The following is a 26,474-nucleotide window of genomic DNA, read 5'->3' as shown; positions in this document are numbered from 1 at the left end:
GAAAGGAGGGATCATTAATAAGCCCCTAGTTATTAGAGACTGTGTAGTACAGTGGTTAAGGTCATAGCCTTCAGCCAGAGCCCTGCTGCTTTTTTTTTTTTTTTTTTTTTTTTTTTTTTTTTTTTTTTTTGAGATGGAGTTTTGCTCTTGTTGACCAGGCTGGAGTGCAATGGTGCTATCTCGGTTCACTGCAACCTCCACCTCCTGGGTTCAAGCAATCCTCCTGCCTCAGCCTCCAGAGTAGCTGGGATTACAGGCACGTGCCACCACGCCCGGCTGATTTTTGTATTTTTTTTTAGTAGAGACGTGGTTTCACCATGTTGGTCAGGCTGTTCTGGAACTTCTGACCTCAAGTGATTCACCTGCCTCAGCCTCCCAAAGTGATGAGATTACAGGCGTGAGCTGCCATGCCTGGCCAGCCAGAGCCCTGCTTTGAACCCCGGCTCCACTATTTCCCAGCTGTATGACCCTTGATGAGTTACCTACCCTCTCTGAGCTTCCATATTCTCATTTGTACATGGAGATAACTGCCCAGAGCTGCTTGAGCTGTTGTGAGGATTCAACTGTGTGCCTGGCACATGACTTAGCACCCACCAACAGGTAGATGTCACCTTTGTTACCAGACGTCATGCGGAACACTTTGGGGTCTCATCCTCACCTACCCCTGTGATAAAGGTGTCAGTCTGATGTGTACAGATCAGGTTTGGGAGCTGGAGCAGATGATCAGGACTCAGCCCTTTGGTGTCTTTCAGCCATTTCCAGCTACCAATATCTGCATCTTTGTGGGGGGAGGGGGGCTCCCTTCAACTTTCATTTCAAGTTCCAGGGTACATGTGCAGGTTTGTTACATAGGTAAATGTGCCATGGTGGTTTGCTGCACAGATCATCCCATCACCTGGGTATTAAACCCAGGATCCATTAGCTATTCTTCCTGATGCTCTTCCTCCCGTCACCTCTCCCCCGACAGGCCCCAGTGTTACCCCCATCCCTTCATGTATCCATGTGCTCTCATTGTTCAGCTCCCACTTATAAGTGAAAATATGCAGTGTTTGGTTTTCCGTTCCTGTGTTAGTTGCTAAGGATAACAGCGTCCAGCTCCATCCATAGCCTGCAAAGGACATGATCTCGTTCCTTTTTATGGCTGCATAGGATTCCTTTGTGGGGCTTTTTATAGAATCATAAAAGCCTCTCTGGCTGTGCAAACAGAACAGGAAGTACCAGAGTGTAAACACAGCCCCCAGTCCCGCTTAGGAGGTCACCTTCTACTTACCAGTCCCTTGCCTGCTCTTGAGGCCAGCATAATGATACACCCGTAAACCACTGGCCTTGGAGTCAGTTTCTCAGGAGACCCCAAAAGAAGACAGAGGCTCAGAGGGATTGAGGCAATTGCCCAAATACACACAACTATGAAATAAAGGAGGGGAGGGGTTGAACAAGATCTGTCACATAGGCTATGATCACTTACCATCTGATCTCCCTAAAACCAATGACCTGTTAATGCTTAGGAAGAAAGTGCCAATCAATGGGAGCTGTCCTGGGCACCCAGGAAAGGGAAAAACCTGCAGACCTCGGCCATAGTATCCTCCTATTCCACTGATGATAGATTGCAGTTTCTCTATCATCTCGGGTTTCCTCATCTCATATAGGGCATTCTGCCTTCTCTATCTCAGGATACTTGAAGAGATGATTGAGGGAGCATTTCTAGAGACCTTTCTCCAAAACAGTGGTCCTGTGAGAGATGGTATAAAAAATAAAGGGCTGAAATAAAGTGGGGGCAATTCTGCATTTGTTAACCCCTTCTGGGAGCCTCACAACATCATTAACATATTAAAGGCTCTGAGAAGTCCTGCAGAAAACCACCCTGTTGACCATAAAACACTTTTCGAATTAATTTTCAAGATCCCTGTAGAAACCAGTGTTCCATAGAACACATTTTGGCAAATAACTAGATTAAGGGTTGATTAGAGATAGGAGTATTCATCTCATTTACTACATAGGATTTCATTAACTCGGGTGGTTATCTAATTAAGGTGTGGATATGGCCATTGGGATAAGATATGCGTAAGTAACACACCTGGTGCCAAGTAGCTATCTTCTTAGTCCATTTGTGTTGCTAGACAGGAATACCTGAGGCTGGGTAATTTATAAAGAAAAAGGGCTATTTGGCTCATGATTCTGTTGGCTGGAAGAATGGGCATCTGGTGAAAGCCTCAGGTTGTTTCCACTCATGGTAGAAGGCAAAGGGGAGCTGGCGTGTGCAGAAATCAGGTGGTGAGAGAGGAAGCAAGAAAGGGTGAGAGGGGAGATGCCAGGATCTTTTTCAAAAATCAGCTTTCATGGGAACTAAGAGGGAACTCACTTACTCCCCTGCCCCAGGGAGGGTATTAATCTATTCATGAGAGGTCCAGACCCGTGACCCAAACACTTCCTATTAGGCCCCGCCTCCAATGTTGGGGATCAGATTCCAACATAAGATTTGTAGGGGACACACATCCAAACTGTAGCAGAAGCCAACACCAACTAGATCTGCCCAGGAAATATTATGGTACCAACTGGCAGACACCATCCTTATCATGAGATAACAAGAATTCAAAGGATGTAAAAGAACCAGGTGGGGCTGCTGGAAAGGGGTCCCCAGAAGCTTCTGCCTTCGGGCTCTCTTTATCACTGCTCTTGCTGTTGATGATGGGTTGTGTGATACAATGCAAGACATGGTGGAGCAGAGAGGAAAATGGAAAAGGTAACATAATATGGAAAGGGGCCTGGCTATGGGAACTACAGGAAAAGTTGATTTATTCAGCATTCAATCCTGTGTCTCCTCAATTCACTCCTTCATTGCATTTTATTCCTATTAGCATAATATGCAGAGTATTTTCAAACATATATAACCATCCATCATTACATCTTTATAATCCTCCAAGCCAATACATTGTGTATGTTTATTGCTTATCTGAACGTATTTCTCCCTTCTAATACAACACATTTCCCTTCAGCATGATCCTCCCCAGTCCTCCTCACAAAATACCTATTCATGTCTGGGAGGAGGTAGGAAGGAGAAAAAATTAAAAAACAATGGTCATGAGTTCATCACTGTTGAAGCTGGGTGATAGGTACTCACAGACTCATACTATTTTGTCTACTTTTGCACATGTTTGGCATTGCCCATAGGAAAAGCATAAAGTATATATTTAAATGAGAAGCACATTGGGGAGGATTATGCTGAAGGGAAATCTGTTGTATCAGAAAGGAGAAATATGTTCACATAAGCAGTAAACATATACAGTATATTGGTTTGGAGGATTATAAAGATGTTATTATGAACGGTTATATATGTTTGGAAATACTCTGCATATTATGCTAATAGGAATAAAATGTAATGAAGGAGTGAGTTGAGGAGATACAGGATGGGAATAGGAGGAGGAGGGGGCTAGAAGGGATTTACATTCAGGGTTCAACAAAGTGGGGTGGACAGTCTGATGGAGGCTGAGCCCCATAGGCATTACTTCCAGTTGCCCTGCAGATGGGGGCCCCTCCTCCACATGTCAATGGCAGTAAGCTCTATACAGATTTTTAAAATATAGTAACTGGGGTAGGGTGCCTGAGCTAGTGGGTATTTTGGGGGTCTTTATGGGAGAAAGTCTAGAGTAGAGTGTGTGAAAGGGCTGAGTATACCTCAGAGAATGTGATCATATGGCAAATTGAGGTCTATCTCAAGCCTACACTCAAGAATGTCCCAGGCGTTGCCCTCTGGGACAGTTGTGATCACTGTAGATAAACTAAGTGTGGCAGATGGCAAATTATCTCCCAACCTCTGTTTTCTACTTTTTCCATAGCCATCTTTCTCAACAGAGGCACTGTTGGTATCCTGGATGGCACAATTCTTCATTACAAGGGAGTATCTCACATAGTTTAGGAAGTTTAGCACACCTGGCCCCACCCATCAAATTCCAAGAATGTTCCCTAGCCATCATGAAGACCAAAAATGCCCCTGCATATTTTTAAATGTTTACTAGGAGGGTAATTTTGCCTCAAGTTGAGAAACACTGTTCTATATAAAATGTTTGGGTGGGCACAAGTTCACCTAGCCAGACATTGCATTGTTAGCCCTCCATGTAGCTAGATGTGGCCATGTGACTGAATTCTGGCCAATAAAATGTGAGTAGAAGTGATATGTGTGATTTCTGGGTCCTGTTTTTAAAGGAAAGTGGGTGGTCTCCATTTAGTCTTCCTCCTTCCCATTGGCTGGAATGCACATGTGATGGCAGGAGCTAAAACAGCCATCTTGGACCATCAGGTGAAAGTCAAATGTTTCAAGTGCTAAGCAACAAGATAGAAAGAGCTTGGCCATTGTAGAGTCACTCTACTGGCCCTTAACTATTTACCCAGATTGCTATATTAGAGAGAAATAAGCTTATATCATGTTTAAGACACTGATTTTTTTTTATTAAATGTTTGTGAATCCATATTACCTACAGTGTTCTACCTGGGACATAACAACCTAGGATGGCAGAGCTCATTCTTCTGGCAGATTTTGTAAGTTGACATGGGTTACTAACATTAGTGGCACCTGCTGCACCTGATATTTTCCCTTGTTACTGCCAAAGAAAGTCAAGTCATACAGGAAGAAGAAGAAGAAGTCAACTTATGCACTCAGAGCCAGGTCTATAAAATCCATTCCCTCATGGGCCTTACTTTTCCAGTGTTCAGCAAGTAGATGGAGCTCTGTCCTCCTTACATTTACTCCCCTCCCTCCCCAACTCGCCAAAGATGACAGTACCCCAGGGAATCACTAAAAGGGGTAGGAGATAGTTAGGAGCAATAACAAACATCATTATATTTTCTACTAAATTCAGTGTTTCCTAATATTCAGGCAATCATAAGCCTCTTTGGCATTTTTTGTCATGTCTGCATATAAAAATAACATTAATGACCACCTACATTTACATGGCATTTAACTGTACATCAGGCACTATTCTAAGCAAATGTATATAATCCTAATGAAGATCCTATGAGTTAGAATTATCATCTTCATTTTACAAATAAAGAAACTGAGGCAAAGAGAGTAAAGAATACACACCCTGTAAGTGGCAAAGCTGAGATTCAAACCCAGGCATGCTGACTCCAGAGCCTAGCACTTAACTACCAACTACATTGCCAGGATATTACCTAGTACATGGAATACCAAACAACAGCCCATAGGCCAATCCAAACCCTGTTTCTGTAAATAAAGTTTTATTGTAACACAGCCACACCCACTTGGTTACATATTGTCTATGGCTACTTTCATATTATAGTGGCATAGTTGAAACGGAAACCATATGGCTCTCAAACCCTAAAATATTTACTATCTAGTCCTTTACAGAAAAGGTTGGCTGAGCCCTGACCTACTGTATTATTTATTAGTTTTCTTAGATTAATTTACTGTACTCAAATAAAATTCTCGTAAAGGAAAATTTCATATCACTACCATAAATGGAAAACCAATACTTGCAGAAAGGAAGAGGAAAAAAATGTAAAAACAATGGAAACAAAATGATGTAAAATTCTAGTTAAATATTTTCACCTCCTCCCAGGCTCTGAGTCTAAGATGCTGTCTGTTTGCTAAAGACAGGGATTGGAGCAAGTGTTAGAGTTCCACGAGCACCCAACTGAGACTTTCTTCGTGATCTCATCTGGAGGATTGAAAAAGATGGAAAAGAGGATCCACATTTCTCTATGTGACTCATGAGATTATGTAATGCTGTGCCCCCAAATTGTTGCAGGTACCATCAGAAATCATCTGGTGTACTACAGATGGGACAACATCCTGCATTTAAGGAGATACTTATCACATAAATCACCAAAACAGCAGTGATGGACATACCTGTCATCCATTCAAAATAGTGACCCTTTTTTTTTTTTTTTTTGAGTCTTGCTCTGTTGCCTGGGCTTGAGTGCAGTGGTGCAATTTCAGCTCACTGAAACCTCTGCCTCCCAGGTTCAAGCAATTCTCCCGCCTCAGCCTCCTGAGTAGCTGGGACCACAGGTGCCCGCCACCACGCCTGGCTAACTTTTTGTATTTTGTTTGTTTGTTTGTTTGTTTTTTTGTTTTGTTTTTTTTTTGTTTTTGAGACGGAGTCTCGCTCTGTCGCCCAGGCTGGAGTGCAGTGGCGCAATCTCGGCTCACTGCAAGCTCCGCCTCCCGGGTTCACGCCATTCTCCTGCCTCAGCCTCCCAAGTAGCTGGGACTACAGGCGCCCGCCACTACGCCCGGCTAATTTTTTGTATTTTTAGTAGAGATGGGGTTTCACCATATTGGCCAGGCTGGTCTCGAACTCCTTACCTTGTGATCCACCTACCTTGGCCTCCCAAAGTGCTGGGTTTACAGGCGTGAGCCACTGCGCCCAGCCGACCCATTTATTTTTTAAATTGGCATTAAACATGAGCATCACTGTCACCCCTGAGAATCATGTTCTTAGGGAAGAATAGTGTTTGCTTCCCATCTTGACTTAGAACTTGAAAGCCATCTCATGATCAGAAAATTAGAGACATAACCTCAAGCAGTGCTGCAAGTCTAGCAGGGGAAGACAATGGAGATTTTAAATAACTTGCCCAGGGTCACCTGGCTAAACCAAGATCCAGACCTCAGTCTCATTCCAGGTTTTGAAATATTCATAAATTCTGACCTTCAAGAAACATGTCTCCAAATTCAAAATAAGTAAAGATTTACCATCATTTAACAAAAACCTGACTGTCTTATTCCATTTTCTGTTGCTTATAACAGAATACTTGAAACTAGGTGATGTATAAAGAAATTTTATTTCTTAAATTTATGAAAGTGAGAAGTTCAACGTTGAGGGGCAGCATCTGGTGAGGACCTTCTTGCTGGTGGGGACTCTCTGCAGAGTCCCATCAGTTCCAAGGTAGCCCAGGGCATCACACAACGAGGGGGCTGGATGCCAGCTCAGTTCTCTCTTCCTCTTCTTATAAGGCCACCAGTCCCAGTCCCTTGATAGTCCATTAGTCCATTAATCCATTAATCCATGAACAGATTAATCCATTCATGAGCCCTCATGACTCAATCACCTCTTAAAGGCCCCACCTCTTGATACTGCCACACTGGGGATTAAGTTTCAACATGAGTTTTGGAGGAGACAAACATTAAGACCACAGCAATAATCATTTACAAAAACAAAATTAAACACAACTAACAATCACTATTTTGAAGGATGACTCATATAGATTGTTATCTTTTTTGTTTCTTGTTGTTGTTTTTAGAGACAGGGTTTTGCTCTGTTGCCCAGGCTAGAGTGCAGCAGCATGATCATAGCTCAAGTGAACTCCTGGGCTCAAGTGATTCTCCTGCCTCAGCCTCCTGAGTAGCTGGGACTACAGTAGCTGGGACTACAGACATGTGCCACCACACCCAGCTAACTTTTTTTTTTTTAGAGAGACAGGGTCTCACTATGTTTCCCAGGCTAGCCTTGAACTCCTGGACTCAAGTCATCCTCCTGCCTTGGCCTCCTACAGTACTGGGATTACAGGCATGAGCCACCACACCCAACCCCCTAGATCCAGTTTTTGTACATAAGCTCCTTACTATAGACTGAAAGGTTCCATAAGGCTAGGCCTGCCCACCTCTCAGACTTCACCTCTCACTTCTCTCCCTTGTCCGCTATGCTCCAGTCACACAGGATGACACTTAGAGGGGGCTGTCCACTGCACTAGATGCCAGTAGTACCACCCCCTCAGTTGTGATAATCAAAATTGTCTCCAGGCATGGCCACATGTCCCCTGAAGGAGAGGGGACACAAAAACGCCTTTGTGGTATCTTCTCTGTAACCCAGTGAAGAATATGTAAGTTGATAAAGCCACCCTTTGGAAAGCATTCTAAATATGCACTCTCCTCCAAGGACAGTGGGTTTGTCACTTGGAGGAACCCTTGTGGTTTATTCACTAAGATGGGCTTGGAGTGTGCAAACTTGAACCCAGGCTGGAACAGAGTGGAACTGCTTGGTATCAGAAAGGGTGAGAAATTGCTCTTATAAAAGGGAGCTGAATAACGCATGCAATGGACAGAGAATGTGGAATGATAGACATTGGAGACTCAGAAAGATGGAGGAGCACAGAAGGAGGGTGGGTGATGAGAAATTACTTAATGGGCACTGTATGAGTCCGTTTTCACACTGCTGATAAAGACATACCTGAGACTGGGCAATTAACAAAAGAAAGAGAGGTTTAATGGACTTGTAGTTCCATATGGCTGGGGAGGCCTCACAATCATGGCAGAAGGCAAGGAGGAGCAAGTCACGTCTTACATGGATGGCAGCAGGCAGAGAGAGAGCTTGTGCAGGGGAACTCCTCTTTTTAAAAACCATCAGATCTCATGAGACTTATTCACTATCATAAGAACAGTGCAGGAAAGACCTACCCCCATAATTCAATCATCTCCCACCAGGTTCCTCCCATGACATGTGGAAATTGTGGGAGTTACAATTCAAGATGAGATTTGAGTGGGGACACAACCAAACTATATCAGGCACAATGCATATTATTCAAGCAACAGATACACTAAAAAGCCAAGACTTCACCATATGCAATATATCCATGTAGCTAAATTACATTAGTATCCCCTTACATTTACACGCTTTCAGGCCAGGGGTAGTGGCTCATGCCTATAATCTCAGCAATTTGTAAGGCTGAGGCAGGAGGATTGCTTGAGCTCAGAAGTTCGAGACCAGCCTGGGCAACATGAGGAGAGCCCATCTCTACAAAAAAAAATTACAAATTAGCAGGTGCGGTGGCATATAGCTGTGGTCCCACCTACTCAAGAGGCTGAGGCAGGAGGATCACTTGAACCTGGGAGGTCAGGGCTGCAGTGAGCCATGATGCCATGCTCACACCACTGCACTCCAGTCTCAGTGACAGACAGAGACCCTGTCTCAAAAAAAAAATTTTTAATAAGAAAATAAATTTATACACTTTTTTGTTAAAAGTGGGTTTGAACTTCTGAGAAAAAGTTGGAGGAATTAAAAGGCTGAACCCCTTACCCCATTGAAAAACAGAAACTCCGTTGCAGCTAGTTCCAAAGAGGGCATCCATTCCTTCTTCTCCAAGGAGGACAACAGAAATTGCCGATGAGGATTTTTTTTAATTGTCAAGACACTTTTGTGCAAGACGAGCCCTGCCTCCATTTCACTGTGAAATCTTCAGCAAAGTCTACCTTGCTCAATAGTGCTTTTGTGTGACAAGATTCTCTTAGGGACCCTGTAGAGGTGTAAAGTTTTGTGTCCAAGTTTGCTGCAAGATTAAAGCAGAGACCACATGAGCACAGGCAGAAGCCACAGGACAAGGGTACAGCTGCCATCTGAGTTACCCACTGTGCACCTGTAAAAACTCTACAGATAGATGCAAGCTGGGAGTCATGCAGCCCCATATCACCCTGTTTCCCCTACCTGGAATATTTTCTCCTCATCCCCAACCTGCCCATCTGATCCTCACACCTGCCCATCTAACCCTTAATTAAGCTAGCTGAGTGTCAGGGTTAGCCATCATCTCCCACCCCAGGGACTTAACCCACTATATTATATTCACCTGTTTAATGTTGTTCCCACCAACCCATCCCACAGACAGTGAATGACAGCAAGGATTGTACCTGTCTTATTCCACCACAAAGTCCTCAGTGCCTAGAACAGTGCCCAGCCCAGAGGGAGCCATTAACGATTATGTATTGAGCAGATGAGTGCTAGATTGACCTGAATTACAGGAGATAAAGAGAGGAAAGGGAGTGGATAGCTACTGGTTCCCCGCCCAGAATCTCTTTATCCCCAGCTGCTGTAAAGGGCTCACAGCTACACCCTTCTCCAAAGAATTGGCCTTAGCCAGATGGAACCCACTTTCCCCAGGAGGCTCTGCCCTAACCTACCCCTAGGGCAGCCAGTAATTGATAGACACTGTGGTGCAGAAGCCTGGCCCCCTTGTCTCAAGATGACACCAACTCCATGGTGGAATTTATGCTCTAGAGTTCCCCCACGGCATCAGGCTGAAGTTTTCTCCACCTAAAGACCACACCTGTGCTTAGCATTTTTTCTGCCCTCTCCTGCTTTTCTCATTCCAGTTCTTCTGAGAACTCTCCCTCAATAAATCACTTGAACAAGAATTCCTATCTCAGAGAACCCTAAAATGGGAATAAATCATTGTGAGTTTCAAGGAGTTGATAAGATATGGGAAAAGCATCTCAATACTACCTAATACATACTGAGGCTCAATAAATATTTATGAAATAATTGGATGGGTGGATGGATGATGGATGGATGGATGGATGGGTGGGTGGGTGGATGGGTAGATGGATGGATGGGTAGATGAGTGGTTAGGCAGATAGATGGACAGGAGGATCTATTACCCTATGAAGGCAAAAACAAAACATATGGACTTCACATTGAAGGGAGTGGTAATAGATCATCAAATGGACCCGAGTCTGAATCTTTCTCTATATCTTCCTAGCTGTGTGATATTGGGCAATTACAAACACCTCTGAGCCTAAATTTACTCATCTGTAATATGGGGGATACTCATGACATCTACTTCACAGATTGTTATAATAATGCAATGATTTAATGTTTATGTAAAGATGTTAGCACTGTGCCTAGTGCATAAGGGCTTGATAAATAGCATCTACTATTATTATTACTATCAATTTTATTATTATTATTATTGACCCAATTAAAAGTGAAATACATTGAAAGGCCCAGGTGGGAGGATCTCTTGAGGCTAGGGGTTTCAGACCAGCCCGGGCAGCATAGTGAGACTTTGTCCCTACAAAAAATTTTTAAATTATCCAGGTGTAAGAGTGTGGACCTGCAGTGCCAGGTACTAGGGAGGCTGAGGCAGGAGGATTGCTTGAGCCCAGGAGGTCGAGGCTGCAGTGAGTTATAATCCTGTGATTGTGCCACCGCACTCCAGCCTGGGTGACAGAGCAAGACCACATCTCAAAAAAAAAAAAAAAAAAAAATGCAAAGTGCATTCCCCTATTGTGTCATAATATAGTTAAACAAGCAAAAGGTAGTTAAAAAAAAAAAAAAAGCAAACATCAGCAGCTAATTGTTCAAAGAGGAGAGATTAAGTTCAAGAAAGCAAGCTTTTTCTTGTTTTGGTAAAATTAAACCCAACACAAAAAAGCAGGTTAATTTCTTGGAGGAAAGAAAAAAGTAACTATCTCATCACAGGGCGATACCCTATCTGAGCTCTGTGAGCCTGGGGCCTCCCGAGAAGCATTTACCAATGAGTATTTTCACAACCTTTTTTATCTAGAGCCAATCAATAAGTGTCTCCAGGTCCCTTTCTGGTTTGTGATTAGTTGTTTTCATTATTTCTGGTTTGCTAGATGCAGATGGGTCTGTGTGGCACAGTTTTTAAATTATCCTAAACACCAGGAATTAACAGCATAGAGAGCTCTGAAAGTGTGAGACATTGGGGCAAATGGTTCTCTCCCACTGGGTCAAGCAAAGATACACACGATCCACTGCTTCTCCTTTGACTCACACCCACGCTGCCACCTGGTCCAAGGCACTATTGGGAGCCTCTTCCCTGGTCTCCCTGCTTTTTCCCTCACCCACTGCTGCAAGTTCCCCTCACAGCAGACACGAGAATCCCATTCAAATGTAACTCAGATCATATCGCTCCTCTTCTCTAAAACCTCCCCATGGCTTCTGTTTGTTTTTTGTAATTTTTCATTTTTTCAGAGATGGGGTCTCACTCTGTCACCTTTGCATGATCACAGCTCACTGCAGCCTCAAACTCCTGGACTCAAGGATCCTCCTGCCTTGAGTAGCTGGGACTACAGATATGCACCACCCCACCCTGCTGATTTTTTTTTTTTTTTTTTTTTTTTTTTTTTTTTTTTTTTTTTGTGGTAAAGACAGGCCTTGCAATGTTTCCCAGACTAGTCTCCAACTCCTGGCCTCAAGCAAGCCTCCCACTTCAGCTTCCCAAAGTGCTGTGATTATAGGCATGCCATGGGTCCCCTTCTTAATCAGAGGGACAACCAAAGTCCCAGAGTGGCTCCAAGGCTCTTCCCAATCTGCCCCGTTTCACTGACTTTGTCTCTCATTACTCTCCCCTCTCCTTACTTGCTCCACCACCAAGCAAATTAGCTTCCTTGCTTTTACCTAAACATTCCAGGCAGACTCCAACCTCAGGGCCTTTGCACTTGCTGTTCCTCTGTGCAGAACACTCTTCCCTCATTATTAACATGCCTCACTCTCGAACTTTCTCCTGATCTCTGCTCAAACGTCACCTTGTGATATGGTTTGGATTTGTGTCCCTGCCCAAATCTCATGTCAAATTGCAATCCTCATTGTTGGAGGGGGGGCCTGGTGGGTGATTGGATCATGGGGGTGAATTTCCCTCTTGCCGTTCTTGTGACAGTGAGTGAGTTCTTGCAAGATCTGGTTGTTTAAAAATGTGTAGCAACCCCCGCCCCCGGCCCTTTGATCTCTTGCTCCTGCTCCAGCCACATAAGACATTCCTTCTTCCCCTTTGCCTTCCGCCCTGATTGTCAGTTTCCTGAGGCTTCCCCAGCCATGCTTCCTGTGCAGGCTGTGGGACCACGAGCCAAGTAAACCTCTTTTCTTTACAAATTACCCAGTCTCAGGTAGTTCTTTATAGTAATGTGAGAATGGACTAATATGCCTTGTTAGGGAAGGCTTCCCTGACCTCCCTCCCTAAAATAGCAGACATACCCAAACCTCATCCACAGTCTACTTTTCTTTTCTCAGTTTTATCTTTCTCCATAGCACCTACCACTGCCAGCATCCCATATAATATGTTCATCTCTCCCACTAGAATGTCAGCACTGGAAGAGCAGGGATCTTTCTCTAGTCTGTTCTTGCCACCTAGAAGAGTGTCTGGCACAATAAATAAATGCTATACTAAATATGCTATATAATATAAACATAAAGAGTATTGACACAATATATAACACTATGTATTATATAATGTATATTATACCTACATATTATATGATATGTAATCATATGATATTGCAATTGTTACATACAATTACATCATAATGAAATATTATTAAATATTTATATATAATAATTTATATTATGTTACATATAATATATAGTACATAATGACAGGTAATAAATACTATATATTACATAAAACTATAGTATATGTTGTATTACAATTCTGTATTGCATGTGATCATAATATAATATAAATGTATAGTGCATAATACAAATATTTTTTTTAAATTATTTTTATTATACTTTAAGTTTTAGGGTACATGTGCACATTGTGCAGGTTAGTTACATATGTATACATGTGCCATGCTGGTGCGCTGCACCCACTAACTCGTCATCTAGCATTAGGTATATCTCCCAATGCTATCCCTCCCCCCTCCCCCCACCCCACCACAGTCCCCAGAGTGTGATATTCCCCTTCCTGTGTCCATGTGATCTCATTGTTCAATTCCCACCTATGAGTGAGAATATGCGGTGTTTGGTTTTTTGTTCTTGCGATAGTTTACTGAGAATGATGGTTTCCAATTTCATCCATGTCCCTACAAAGGACATGAACTCATCATTTTTTATGGCTGCATAGTATTCCATGGTGTATATGTGCCACATTTTCTTAATCCAGTCTATCATTGTTGGACATTTGGGTTGGTTCCAAGTCTTTGCTATTGTGAATAATGCTGCAATAAACATACGTGTGCATGTGTCTTTATAGCAGCATGATTTATAGTCATTTGGGTATATACCCAGTAATGGGATGGCTGGGTCAAATGGTATTTCTAGTTCTAGATCCCTGAGGAATCGCCACACTGACTTCCACAATGGTTGAACTAGTTTACAGTCCCACCCACAGTGTAAAAGTGTTCCTATTTCTCCATATCCTCTCCAGCACCTGTTGTTTCCTGACTTTTTAATGATTGCCATTCTAACTGGTGTGAGATGATATCTCATAGTGGTTTTGATTTGCATTTCTCTGATGGCCAGTGATGATGAGCATTTTTTCATGTGTTTTTTGGCTGCATAAATGTCTTCTTTTGAGAAGTGTCTGTTCATGTCCTTCGCCCACTTTTTGATGGGGTTGTTTGTTTTTTTCTTGTAAATTTGTTTGAGTTCATTGTAGATTCTGGATATTAGCCCTTTGTCAGATGAGTAGGTTGCGAAAATTTTCTCCCATGTTGTAGGTTGCCTGTTCACTCTGATGGTAGTTTCTTTTGCTGTGCAGAAGCTCTTTAGTTTAATTAGATCCCATTTGTCAATTTTGGCTTTTGTTGCCATTGCTTTTGGTGTTTTGGACATGAAGTCCTTGCCCACGCCTATGTCCTGAATGGTAATGCCTAGGTTTTCTTCTAGGGTTTTTATGGTTTTAGGTCTAACGTTTAAATCTTTAATCCATCTTGAATTGATTTTTGTATAAGGTGTAAGGAAGGGATCCAGTTTCAGCTTTCTACATATGGCTAGCCAGTTTTCCCAGCACCATTTATTAAATAGGGAATCCTTTCCCCATTGCTTGTTTTTCTCAGGTTTGTCAAAGATCAGATAGTTGTAGGTATGCGGCGTTATTTCTGAGGGCTCTGTTCTGTTCCATTGATCTATATCTCTGTTTTGGTACCAGTACCATGCTGTTTTGGTTAATGTAGCCTTGTAGTATAGTTTGAAGTCAGGTAGTGTGATGCCTCCAGCTTTGTTCTTTTGGCTTAGGATTGACTTGGCGATGCAGGCTCTTTTTTGGTTCCATATGAACTTTAAAGTAGTTTTTTCCAATTCTGTGAAGAAAGTCATTGGTAGCTTGATGGGGATGGCATTGAATCTATAAATTACCTTGGGCAGTATGGCCATTTTCACGATATTGATTCTTCCTACCCATGAGCATGGAATGTTCTTCCATTTGTTTGTATCCTCTTTTATTTCCTTGAGCAGTGGTTTGTAGTTCTCCTTGAAGAGGTCCTTCATATCCCTTGTAAGTTGGATTCCTAGGTATTTTATTCTCTTTGAAGCAATTGTGAATGGGAGTTCACTCATGATTTGGCTCTCTGTTTGTCTGTTGTTGGTGTATAAGAATGCTTGTGATTTTTGTACATTGATTTTGTATCCTGAGACTTTGCTGAAGTTGCTTATCAGCTTAAGGAGATTTTGGGCTGAGACGATGGGGTTTTCTAGATAAACAATCATGTCGTCTGCAAACAGGGACAATTTGACTTCCTCTTTTCCTAATTGAATACCCTTTATTTCCTTCTCCTGCCTGATTGCCCTGGCCAGAACTTCCAACACTATGTTGAATAGGAGCGGTGAGAGAGGGCATCCCTGTCTTGTGCCAGTTTTCAAAGGGAATGCTTCCGGTTTTTGCCCATTCAGTATGATATTGGCTGTGGGTTTGTCATAGATAGCTCTTATTATTTTGAAATACGTCCCATCAATACCTAATTTATTGAGAGTTTTTAGCATGAAGTGTTGTTGAATTTTGTCAAAGGCTTTTTCTGCATCTATTGAGATAATCATGTGGTTTTTGTCTTTGGCTCTGTTTATATGCTGGATTACATTTATTGATTTGCGTATATTGAACCAGCCTTGCATCCCAGGGATGAAGCCCACTTGATCATGGTGGATAAGCTTTTTGATGTGCTGCTGGATTCGGTTTGCCAGTATTTTATTGAGGATTTTTGCATCAATGTTCATCAAGGATATTGGTCTAAAATTCTCTTTTTTGGTTGTGTCTCTGCCCGGCTTTGGTATCAGAATGATGCTGGCCTCATAAAATGAGTTAGGGAGGATTCCCTCTTTTTCTATTGATTGAAATAGTTTCAGAAGGAATGGTACCAGTTCCTCCTTGTACCTCTGGTAGAATACGGCTGTGAATCCATCTGGTCCTGGACTCTTTTTGGTTGGTAAACTATTGATTATTGCCACAATTTCAGCTCCTGTTATTGGTCTATTCAGAGATTCAACTTCTTCCTGGTTTAGTCTTGGGAGAGTGTATGTGTTGAGGAATGTATCCATTTCTTCTAGATTTTCTAGTTTATTTGCGTAGAGGTGTTTGTAGTATTCTCTGATGGTAGTTTGTATTTCTGTGGGATCGGTGGTGATATCCCCTTTATCATTTTTTATTGTGTCTATTTGATTCTTCTTTTTTTCTTTATTAGTCTTGCTAGCGGTCTATCAATTTTGTTGATCCTTTCAAAAAACTAGCTCCTGGATTCATTGATTTTTTGAAGGGTTTTTTGTGTCTCTATTTCCTTCAGTTCTGCTCTGATTTTAGTTATTTCTTGCCTTCTGCTAGCTTTTGAATGTGTTTGCTCTTGCTTTTCTAGTTCTTTTAATTGTGATGTTAGGGTGTCAATTTTGGATCTTTCCTGCTTTCTCTTGTGGGCATTTAGTGCTATAAATTTCCCTCTACACACTGCTTTGAATATGTCCCAGAGATTCTGGTATGTTGTGTCTTTGTTCTCGTTGGTTTCAAAGAACATCTTTATTTCTGCCTTCATTTCGTTATGTACCCAGTAGTCATTCAGGAGCAGGTTGTTCAGTTTCCATGTAGTTGAGCGGCTTTGAGTGAGATTCTTAATCCTGAGTTCTAGTTTGATTGCACTGTGGTCTGAGAGATAGTTTGTTATAATTTCTGTTCTTTTACATTTGCTGAGGAGAGCTTTACTTCCAACTATGTGGACAATTTTGGAATAGGTGTGGTGTGGTGCTGAAAAAAATGTATATTCTGTTGATTTGGGGTGGAGAGTTCTGTAGATGTCTATTAGGTCCGCTTGGTGCAGAGCTGAGTTCAATTCCTGGGTATCCTTGTTGACTTTCTGTCTCGTTGATCTGTCTAATGTTGACAGTGGGGTGTTAAAGTCTCCCATTATTAATGTGTGGGAGTCTAAGTCTCTTTGTAGGTCGCTCAGGACTTGCTTTATGAATCTGGGTGCTCCTGTATTGGGTGCATATATATTTAGGATAGTTAGCTCCTCTTGTTGAATTGATCCCTTTACCATTATGTAATGGCCTTCTTTGTCTCTTTTGATCTTTGTTGGTTTAAAGTCTGTTTTATCAGAGACTAGGATTGCAACCCCTGCCTTTTTTTGTTTTCCATTTGCTTGGTAGATCTTCCTCCATCCTTTTATTTTGAGCCTATGTATGTCTCTGCACGTGAGATGGGTTTCCTGAATACAGCACACTGATGGGTCTTGACTCTTTATCCAACTTGCCAGTCTGTGTCTTTTAATTGGAGAATTTAGTCCATTTACATTTAAAGTTAATATTGTTATGTGTGAATTTGATCCTGTCATTATGATGTTAGCTGGTTATTTTGCTCGTTAGTTGATGCAGTTTCTTCCTAGTCTCGATTGTCTTTACATTTTGGCATGATTTTGCAGTGGCTGGTACCGGTTGTTCCTTTCCATGTTTAGCGCTTCCTTCAGGAGCTCTTTTAGGGCAGGCCTGGTGGTGACAAAATCTCTCAGCATTTGCTTGTCTGTAAAGTATTTTATTTCTCCTTCACTTATGAAGCTTAGTTTGGCTGGATATGAAATTCTGGGTTGAAAATTCTTTTCTTTAAGAATGTTGAATATTGGCCCCCACTCTCTTCTGGCTTGTAGGGTTTCTGCCGAGAGATCTGCTGTTAGTCTGATGGGCTTCCCTTTGAGGGTAACCCGACCTTTCTCTCTGGCTGCCCTTAACATTTTTTCCTTCATTTCAACTTTGGTGAATCTGACAATTATGTGTCTTGGAGTTGCTCTTCTCGAGGAGTATCTTTGTGGCATTCTCTGTATTTCCTGAATCTGAATGTTGGCCTGCCTTGCTAGGTTGGGGAAGTTCTCCTGGATAATATCCTGCAGAGTGTTTTCCAACTTGGTTCCATTCTCCACATCACTTTCAGGTACACCAATCAGACGTACATTTGGTCTTTTCACATAGTCCCATATTTCTTGGAGGCTTTGCTCATTTCTTTTTATTCTTTTTTCTCTAAACTTCCCTTCTCGCTTCATTTCATTCATTTCATCTTCCATTGCTGATACCCTTTCTTCCAGTTGATCGCATCGGCTCCTGAGGCTTCTGCATTCTTCACGTAGTTCTCGAGCCTTGGTTTTCAGCTCCATCAGCTCCTTTAAGCACTTCTCTGTATTGGTTATTCTAGTTATACATTCTTCTAAATTTTTTTCAAAGTTTTCAACTTCTTTGCCTTTGGTTTGAATGTCCTCCCGTAGCTCAGAGTCATTTGATCGTCTGAAGCCTTCTTCTCTCAGCTCGTCAAAATCATTCTCCATCCAGCTTTGTTCCGTTGCTGGTGAGGAACTGCGTTCCTTTGGAGGAGGAGAGGCGCTCTGCGTTTTAGAGTTTCCAGTTTTTCTGTTCTGTTTTTTCCCCATCTTTGTGGTTTTATCTACTTTTCGTCTTTGATGATGGTGATGTACAGATGGGTTTTCGGTGTGGATGTCCTTTCTGTTTGTTATTTTTCCTTCTAACAGACAGGACCCTCAGCTGCAGGTCTGTTGGAATACCCTGCCGTGTGAGGTGTCAGTGTGCCCCTGCTGGGGGGTGCCTCCCAGTTAGGCTGCTCAGGGGTCAGGGGTCAGGGACCCACTTGAGGAGGCAGTCTGCCCGTTCTCAGATCTCCAGCTGCATGCTGGGAGAACCACTGCTCTCTTCAAAGCTGTCAGACAGGGACATTTAAGTCTGCAGAGGTTACTGCTGTCTTTTTGTTTGTCTGTGCCCTGCCCCCAGAGGTGAAGCCTACAGTGGCAGGCAGGCCTCCTTGAACTGTGGTGGGCTCCACCCAGTTCGAGCTTCCTGGCTGCTTTGTTTACCTAAGCAAGCCTGGGCAATGGCGGGCGCCCCTCCCCCAGCCTCGCTGCCGCCTTGCAGTTTGATCTCAGAATGCTGTGCTAGCAATCAGAGAGACTCCGTGGGCGTAGGACCCTCCGAGCCAGGTGTGGGATATAGTCTCGTGGTGCGCCGTTTTTTAAGCCGGTCTGAAAAGCGCAATATTCGGGTGGGAGTGACCCGATTTTCCAGGTGCGTCCGTCACCCCTTTCTTTGACTCGGAAAGGGAACTCCCTGACCCCTTGCGCTTCCCAGGTGAGGCAATGCCTCGCCCTGCTTCGGCTCGCGCACGGTGCGCGCACCCACTGGCCTGCGCCCACTGTCTGGCACTCCCTAGTGAGATGAACCCGGTACCTCAGATGGAAATGCAGAAATCACCCGTCTTCTGCGTCGCTCACGCTGGGAGCTGTAGACCGGAGCTGTTCCTATTCGGCCATCTTGGCTCCTCCAACCCAAATATTTTTTAAGTAGCTGCTCAGTAAACAGTCACTGAAGGAATTAATTGGCCAGGCACGGTGGCTCATGTCTATAGTCCCAAGGCTTTTGGAGGCCAAGGCACAAGGATTGCTTGAGCCTAGGAGTTCAAGACCAGCCTAGGTAACATAGCAAGACCCTATCTCTACAAAAAAAAAAAAATAATAATGTTAAAAAATAGGAAGATATGTGGGAACTAAAACAGAACAGGCTGAGGAGGGCCAGAGACTACTGGCAGTGAGTTGGCCCCGGGTGATGGCAATGGAGGTGGTAAGAAGTGCTCAGATTCTATATATGGCTTAAATGTGGAGCAGACAGGATTGGTTGATGAATTGGATGTGGAGTAGGAAAGAAGGAGAGGAATCAAGGATGACTCCAGGTTTGGGGTCTGAGCAATGGGAAGGATGGAGTGGCCAGTTAATGGCAGTGGCAAGACCACGGAAGGAGCAGGGTCTGTGTCGAGAGAGTGAATATCAGGAGTTTGGATGTGAACATGCTAACTTTGAACTTCCTATGAGAAGTTCCATATGAAGTTCCTACGAGAAGTTCATCCTAGTGGCGGTACTGACTAAGCAGTTAGCTGTGCAGGTCTAGAGCTTAGGGGACCCGCCAGGCTGGAAACAACAAATTTTGAAATCATATACACTGAGAGGGCACTTTAAGTCAAATGTAGGTGGAGAAGGATGGAAGGACTCAGTCCTAGGACATGATGCTGTTTAGAGATGGAAGGAAACGACCAGGAGAATGTGGTGTCCTGGAAGCCCAGTGAAAACTCAGTGAGTATAATGAGCATTTGTAATTAATCTGCTCAGTATCCACACCTCTTCCTCCAGCAACTGCCCCTGATTTTCACTTGGATATCTACCCCATCCCTACTTGGACCATGTGATCTGCATGGGCCTGTATGCTCAGCTCCAAGCATAGAGCACCATGAAAACATGTTGGCTTAGGGATAAACAGATGACTTCAGCCAAGCCAATCAGAGTGAATCTCAGAACCACTGCAGGAACTACTGGGAAACATTATTTTCAGAAGGATTTGAACAGAAGTTGCTGGCAATCATCACACCATCACAGGGGCAGCTTATTCTGTAAATGAAGCCCACACAAACAAAGCAAAGTCTGGAGGTGAAGAAAGGATTTTGGTGACTTCACTTGCTACTTGGATCAAGCCACACCTGAAGCTTGAGGTGTCCTAGACATTTTAGTTATGTGAACTATTTAGCTTGTGCCAGTTTGGGTTGGACTGTTTTGGTAACTCGGAAAAAATAAGTCTGACTAATTCAGAAAGGGAATTGATAAAATCAGTAGGGTATATTTATCCAATAGAATATTATTATGCCACTAAAAAGAATTAGGTAGGTCACTACCTGTTGATCTGGAAATATGTCCATGTTTATTAATAAGCAAAAAAAGCAAATCAGACTTCATACTCACTAGGATGTCTATAATCAAAAAAAAAGACAATAACAAAGGTTGGCAAAGATGTGAAGAAAGTGGAACCCTCATACACTGCTGGTGGAAACATCAAATGGTGCAGTTGCTTTGAAAAATAATTTCACAGTTTCTCAAAATATTTAACATAGAATTAGGCCAGGCACGGTAGCTCACGCCTGTAATCCTAGCACTTTGGGAGGCCAAGGTGGGCAGATCACTTGAGGTCAGGAGTTCGAGACCAGCCTGGCCAACACGGTGAAACCCCATCTCTACTAAAAATACAAAATTAGCTGGGCATGATAGCATGCCTGTAATCCCAGCTACTCAGGAGGCTGAGGCACGAGAATCACTTGAACCTGGGAGGCAGAGGTTGCAATGGGCTGAGGTTGTGCCATTGCACTTCAGCCTGGGCAACAAGAGCAAAACTCCATCTCAAAACACACACACACACACACACACACACACACACACACACACACACACACACACAGAATTACCATAAGGCAATTCCATTCCTGGGTATATACCCAAGAGAACTGAAAACATATGTCTACACAAAAACTTGAACACCAATGTTATCAGCAGCATTATTTATAATAGCCAAAAAGTAGAAACAACACAAATGTCTATCAACTGAGGAACAGATAAATAAAATGTGATATACCCATCTAATGAAACGTTATTCAAACTGAAAAGGGAAGGAAGCACCGATTCATGCTTTAACACAGATGAACCTTGAAAACACGATGCTAAGTGAAAGACGCCAGTCGCAAAAGGACAAATATTATATTATTCCATTTATATGAAATGTCCAGAATAGGCAAATCTAAAGAAACAGAAAGTAAAGTAGAGGTTGCCAGGGACCAAGGGAAGGGCAAGGAAAACGTGTAGTTACTGCTAATGGGTTTCTTTTAGGAGAGACCAAAATGTTCTAAAATTACGTGTGGAGATAGTCATACAACCCTGTGAACATACTAAAATAATTGAGTGGCTCGCTTTACATGGACAAATTGTATGGTATAAGAATTATATCTCAATAAAGCTATTTTCAAAGGCAAATTATAAAATAATATGTGTAGTATGATCCTACTTTGGTAATAAATAAATATGATTAAAAAAACAATTACATGTATGAGTCTCTACGTTACAAGATGGAGACTATTTAATTCCCCAGGGTTCCTCTTGAAATGGGCAATGTACTTGTGAGGAAGAAACATTTCAGTAAGCAACTTAGAGAGGGTGGGAGCCTCAGACCTGCCCAACTAGCAAGATATGATCCCAAAACTGCCTTCTAAGGGGGAGGGTCATCTTTACTGGAGGGTCCTTTGTTAGTTGCAGCCTGTGATGAACTGGGCTTGCGATTGAAGCAGGATCTGGTGCACTGTGGAATTGCTCTGCAGAATAGCAACAGGAAATTTAGGGAAGAGACCTGGGACAGGAGGAGAAGCAGGTGAGACTGAGGGAGAAGAAGCCCCTGCAGTGACAAGGCCAAGGGCAGGGGGTGACTTAGGGGTGCCTCACAGTATAATCTCTTCCTCTGCCTCCTCTAAGAAGGCTTCTATAAGCTCTGCATTGCTCCCCAGTGCTGTGTGCATGGGATGAATTCTTCTGCAAGAATTCGGAGACATGCTAGATTCTCATGGGGGGTTGGCATAGGGAAAATCACAAATCACACTAAGACTTGGAAGCTGACATCTGGGATATGTGTATACATAAATGTAGAAAGTACTCCAAAAGGATAAATGCCAGAGGTAGAACTGACATCAAGGAAGGAGAAGATTTGTGTTTCCTTTACACTCTTCTGCCTTATTTAGATTTATCACAATAAGCATGAACGATTTTGTCATTCTTAAAGGTAAAAAAGACAACTCAGGCTGGGTGTGGTAGCACGCACCTGTGGTCCCAGCTACTCAGGAGGCTGAAGCAGGAGGATCACTTGAGCCTAGGGGGTCGAGGCTGCAGTGAGCCATGCTGGTGCCACTGCAGTCCAGCCTGGGCAACAGAGCAAGAACCTGTCTCAAAAGAAGAAAGAAAAAAGACAACTCAAGTGCCACTTCCTCCAGGAAGTCTCCGAGGCAGAAATAAAAACTCCTCCTCTGCATTGCAATTAAACTTTGTTCCTTCCGTTATTTCAGCACTTGCCACTTGAGGAGAATTCACTGTTCTGGGAGCCATGGAGGACAGCAGCTGTTCACTTTTTCTCTCTGATATTGAGCCTATAAAAGGTACTTTGTAAGTATCTGGGGAATAAATGAACAGGTGAGTGAGTGAATGGGTGAGTGAGTAAGTGAATGAGCTCAGCTATGCCCACAGCAACCTGAATCCAACCAGCCTTTGTCCAAGCTCATCCTACTGAGGCTGGCTAAATGACAAGGGTGGCCATTTGGGGATGCTGAGCCACCCCAAGGAGCCTGGGATTAATTATACTGCCACCAACACCTCAGCAGCGTGGATTTGCAAGTCTTAATTACATGCAGGGACCAGCAGGAATGCTCACTCGCCATCTCTGACCCCAGAGTCTCCGGTGTTATTCTTTACACCCCTTTCTCTTCCTGACACCTCCAGCTCCCTAAGGAAAGCAGGGGACAAACCGGGAGCAGAGATGTGCTTCAAACAGGGAGAGAGAAAGAGCTTAGGCTGCAGGAAGCTCATCTACTTCAGCCTCAGACCTCAGGGCTCAGGAGGGAAAAAACTGTCTTCTTGTATTTTTTTAAATGGCTCAGCCAGAGGTGAGGATGGGGAGCTGGGTCCTTGCCCAGAGTCAAAATCTGCATTACAAATGCCTCTCAAACCTTCCCAGGGAGGAAGGGATGCTCTCGATAAAGTCTGTTCTCCCAGCTGAGCTGAGAAAGACTGTAGTCTCCTTTGTCTCTGCCAGGAAGCTGCAGGCTCCCAAATTTCAGCTGTTGGATCAGCATTTGGCCACTGGTTTTAAGGCATCTGACAGCTGATCACTCCTGTCCATCACTCTGGGTGGATACTTAAGAGATCAGGTGAGAAAGGAAAGGAGAATGTTCCTTGAGGTCCATTGAAAAGCAGACTTAGGTTCAAATGTCAGCTTCACAACTTAACCTGCTGTGTGGCCCTGAGCACATTGCTTAACTTCTCTGAGCTTCAGTGACACCTCTGTTATTTTTTAATCCTCCCACTGCCTGGTGCCTGGAAACTTTTTCTCTCCCAAGATTTTGTCTTGGAATTAAGGTATTATTGTCTCTGGGAATTCTCTTCTAAGATGCAAAAACATTTTGAAAAGTCTCCAACTCAGCCATGAACATTCAAGAATGGATCCAGACTGCGCGCGGTGGCTCACACCTGCAATCCCAGCACTTTGGGAGGCCGAGGCAGGAGGATCACTTGAGGTCAGGAGTTCGAGACCAGCCTGGCCAACATGGCAAAACCCCGTCTCTACTAAAAATACAAAAATTAGCCAGGCATGGTGGCAGGTGCCTGTAATCCCAGCTGTTCGGGAGGCTGAGGCAGGAGAATCGCTTGAACCCGGGAGGCGGAGGTTGCAGTGAGCCGAGACCATGCCACTGCACTCCAGCTTGAGTGACAGAGCAAGATTCTGTCTCAAAAATAACAAAAACAAAAAAAGAATGGATCCATTTATCAGAGATAAACCAGTTGCTCGGCAGGGCTCTGAGGATGGAAGACAACAGACAGATATGTTTTGACTGGAGAAAAGAAGCCCAGAGAAGAAGCTGCTCCCATTGGCAAGGAGAATAGAGTTGATGAGGGTTGATGCCACAGAGGGTCCTAGGGACAAGATCCAGACCTCAGTGCCCCCATCTCAAACAACAGACAATATAGATAAAACCTTATTGAGCACTTACTAGCTGCCAGGCGTCATTCTAAGGGCTTCACAGATTCTCTTCATGTTTATGAAAACCCCATTTTATAGATGATAAAACTGAGGTCAGGGAGGTGAAGTAACTTACTCCACAGCTCACCCCACCAGTAAATGGGACAGCCAACTTGAATTTCCAGAGCCTTCAGTTGGCAGCAGTGGATAACTATGGTTCTTTGAAAGCACTGAGATCCTTGGACACGGTCGTCAAGTGCAGAAGAGGGCAAAAAGAGAAGGCAAGGTACAAAAAGAAGTCGCCAAAAGACAAGCACCAGCACCTCTCCACCTGCTCCTGGACCTGCCTTTCTGCAGCCGAGATCTCTAGCGGAGGTACAGGAACAAGCACCCTGGTATGAGTGGGTCCCTAACAAGGGCTGGCTGGCTGGCATGATACCTTTTCCTTCTTTGCTCCCTCTCAATGCCCCCCAAAACTGTTACCATGGAGACCACCTCTCTAGTGGCCAGAGCCAGGAGCTGGAGCCAAGTGCCAGGAGGCTGAGAGAAAGGGCTGGCAGTGCGTGTGGGGAACAATCACTGGAGGCCCCAAGGAGGTGGTGCCAGGGTTCACCAGATGGCTGGGGGCAGGAAGCCAGCCCATCTTCACACAACAGGTCTGTAGTTTTGCGAGGGTCTGCAAGACTCCCCTCAAAACAACAAAGCTTCTAACAGAAAAAAAAATAGCACAGAAACACATATTTTCTGTCTTTAATCATGTCATGCCTTAGGTATTTTTGCAGCACCTACTATGTGCCAGATCCCATCAAGGTGCTGGAATATTATAGGGAATACACAGATCAATATATAAGCCCCCAGTATAAAGTAGTATAAGAACCCCACATAGAGGATGTGGATGAGTTCAACAGTAAATTGTTCCTCTGTTGGTTTTTGTTTTGGGGTTCTTTCATGGTCATGCTTATTTTCATATTAGCATTAATAATAATACAGCCAGCCACAGAAGCTCCCTGTAATCCCAGCAACTCAGGAGGCTGAGAGAGGAGGCTCACTTGAGCCCAAGAGTTCAAGACTGCAGTGAGCCATGATCGCACCACCACACTCCAGCCTGGGAGACAAAGCAAGACTCCAACTCTAAAGATAATAATAGTACTAGTAGTAGTGATATCTAACATTCAATCAGCACATAATACAAAATGGATCTTGGATCTTTTTCTTCCTTTTTTTTTTTTTTTTTTTTTTTTTTTTTGAGGCAGGGTCTCACTCCTGTCCCTCAGGCTAGAGTACAGTGATGTGATCTCTGCTCACTGCAGCCTGGACTTCCCGGGCTCAGGAGATTCTCTCACCTCAGCCTCCCAAGTAACTGGGACTACAGGTGTGCATCACCATGCCCGTATTTTGCTTTTTTTTTTTTTTAATAGAGACAGGGTTACACCGTGATGTCCAGGCTGGTCTCAAACTTCTGGGCTCAAGTGATCTACCCGCCTCAGCCTCCCAAGGTGCTGGGATTACAGGAGTGAGCCACCATGCCCAGCCCCACAAAGGATCTTATATGCATCAACTTTTATCTCCACTATCACGCTATGATGTGGGCATTGATATTATTATTCCCATTTCACAGATGATGGAATTGAGGCTCAGGGAGATTTATTCACTACCCCAAGGACAAACATCTGGTGTTCTATTTCCCATTGCTGCTGTGACAAATTGCCACAAATTTAGGAGATTTCAACAATGCAAATTTATTCTCTTACAGTTCTGGAAGTCAGAAGTCCAAAATCAGTTTCACTGGGCTCAAGTCAAGGTGCCAGGGGAGCTGGTTCCTTCTAGAAGCTCTGAAGGGAGAATCCATTTCTTTGCCTTTTTCAGCTTGTAGTGGTTTACAAGCATTCCTTGGCTCGTGGTCCCTTCCTCTAACTTCAAAGCGTATCAGCCCAATCTCTGCTATCATCATGT

General features: G+C 43.5%; 1 protein-coding gene across 1 annotated transcript in view, besides 1 other annotated feature; it reads right to left on the bottom strand.

The window, feature by feature from the left end:
* The window catches only part of RPH3A (rabphilin 3A), a 323,646-nt gene that overhangs the window by 258,426 nt on the left and 38,746 nt on the right, over positions 1-26,474 (bottom strand). The gene's annotated exons all lie outside the window — the stretch shown is intronic.
* Positions 22,654-23,154: an enhancer, noted in NCBI's record as "H3K27ac hESC enhancer chr12:113055106-113055606 (GRCh37/hg19 assembly coordinates)". NCBI's record gives its function as "activates a minimal SCP1, AML or CMV promoter by ChIP-STARR-seq in naive H9 embryonic stem cells {active_cell/tissue: H9 hESC(naive)}" and the evidence as "EXISTENCE:reporter gene assay evidence [ECO:0000049][PMID:30033119]".

The sequence above is a fragment of the Homo sapiens genome, chromosome 12 (genome assembly GCF_000001405.40).
Source record: "Homo sapiens chromosome 12, GRCh38.p14 Primary Assembly".
Lineage (NCBI taxonomy): Eukaryota > Metazoa > Chordata > Mammalia > Primates > Hominidae > Homo > Homo sapiens.
The sequence above is the reverse complement of the archived record's forward strand: the minus strand, read 5'-3'. Positions and strand labels throughout refer to the sequence as shown.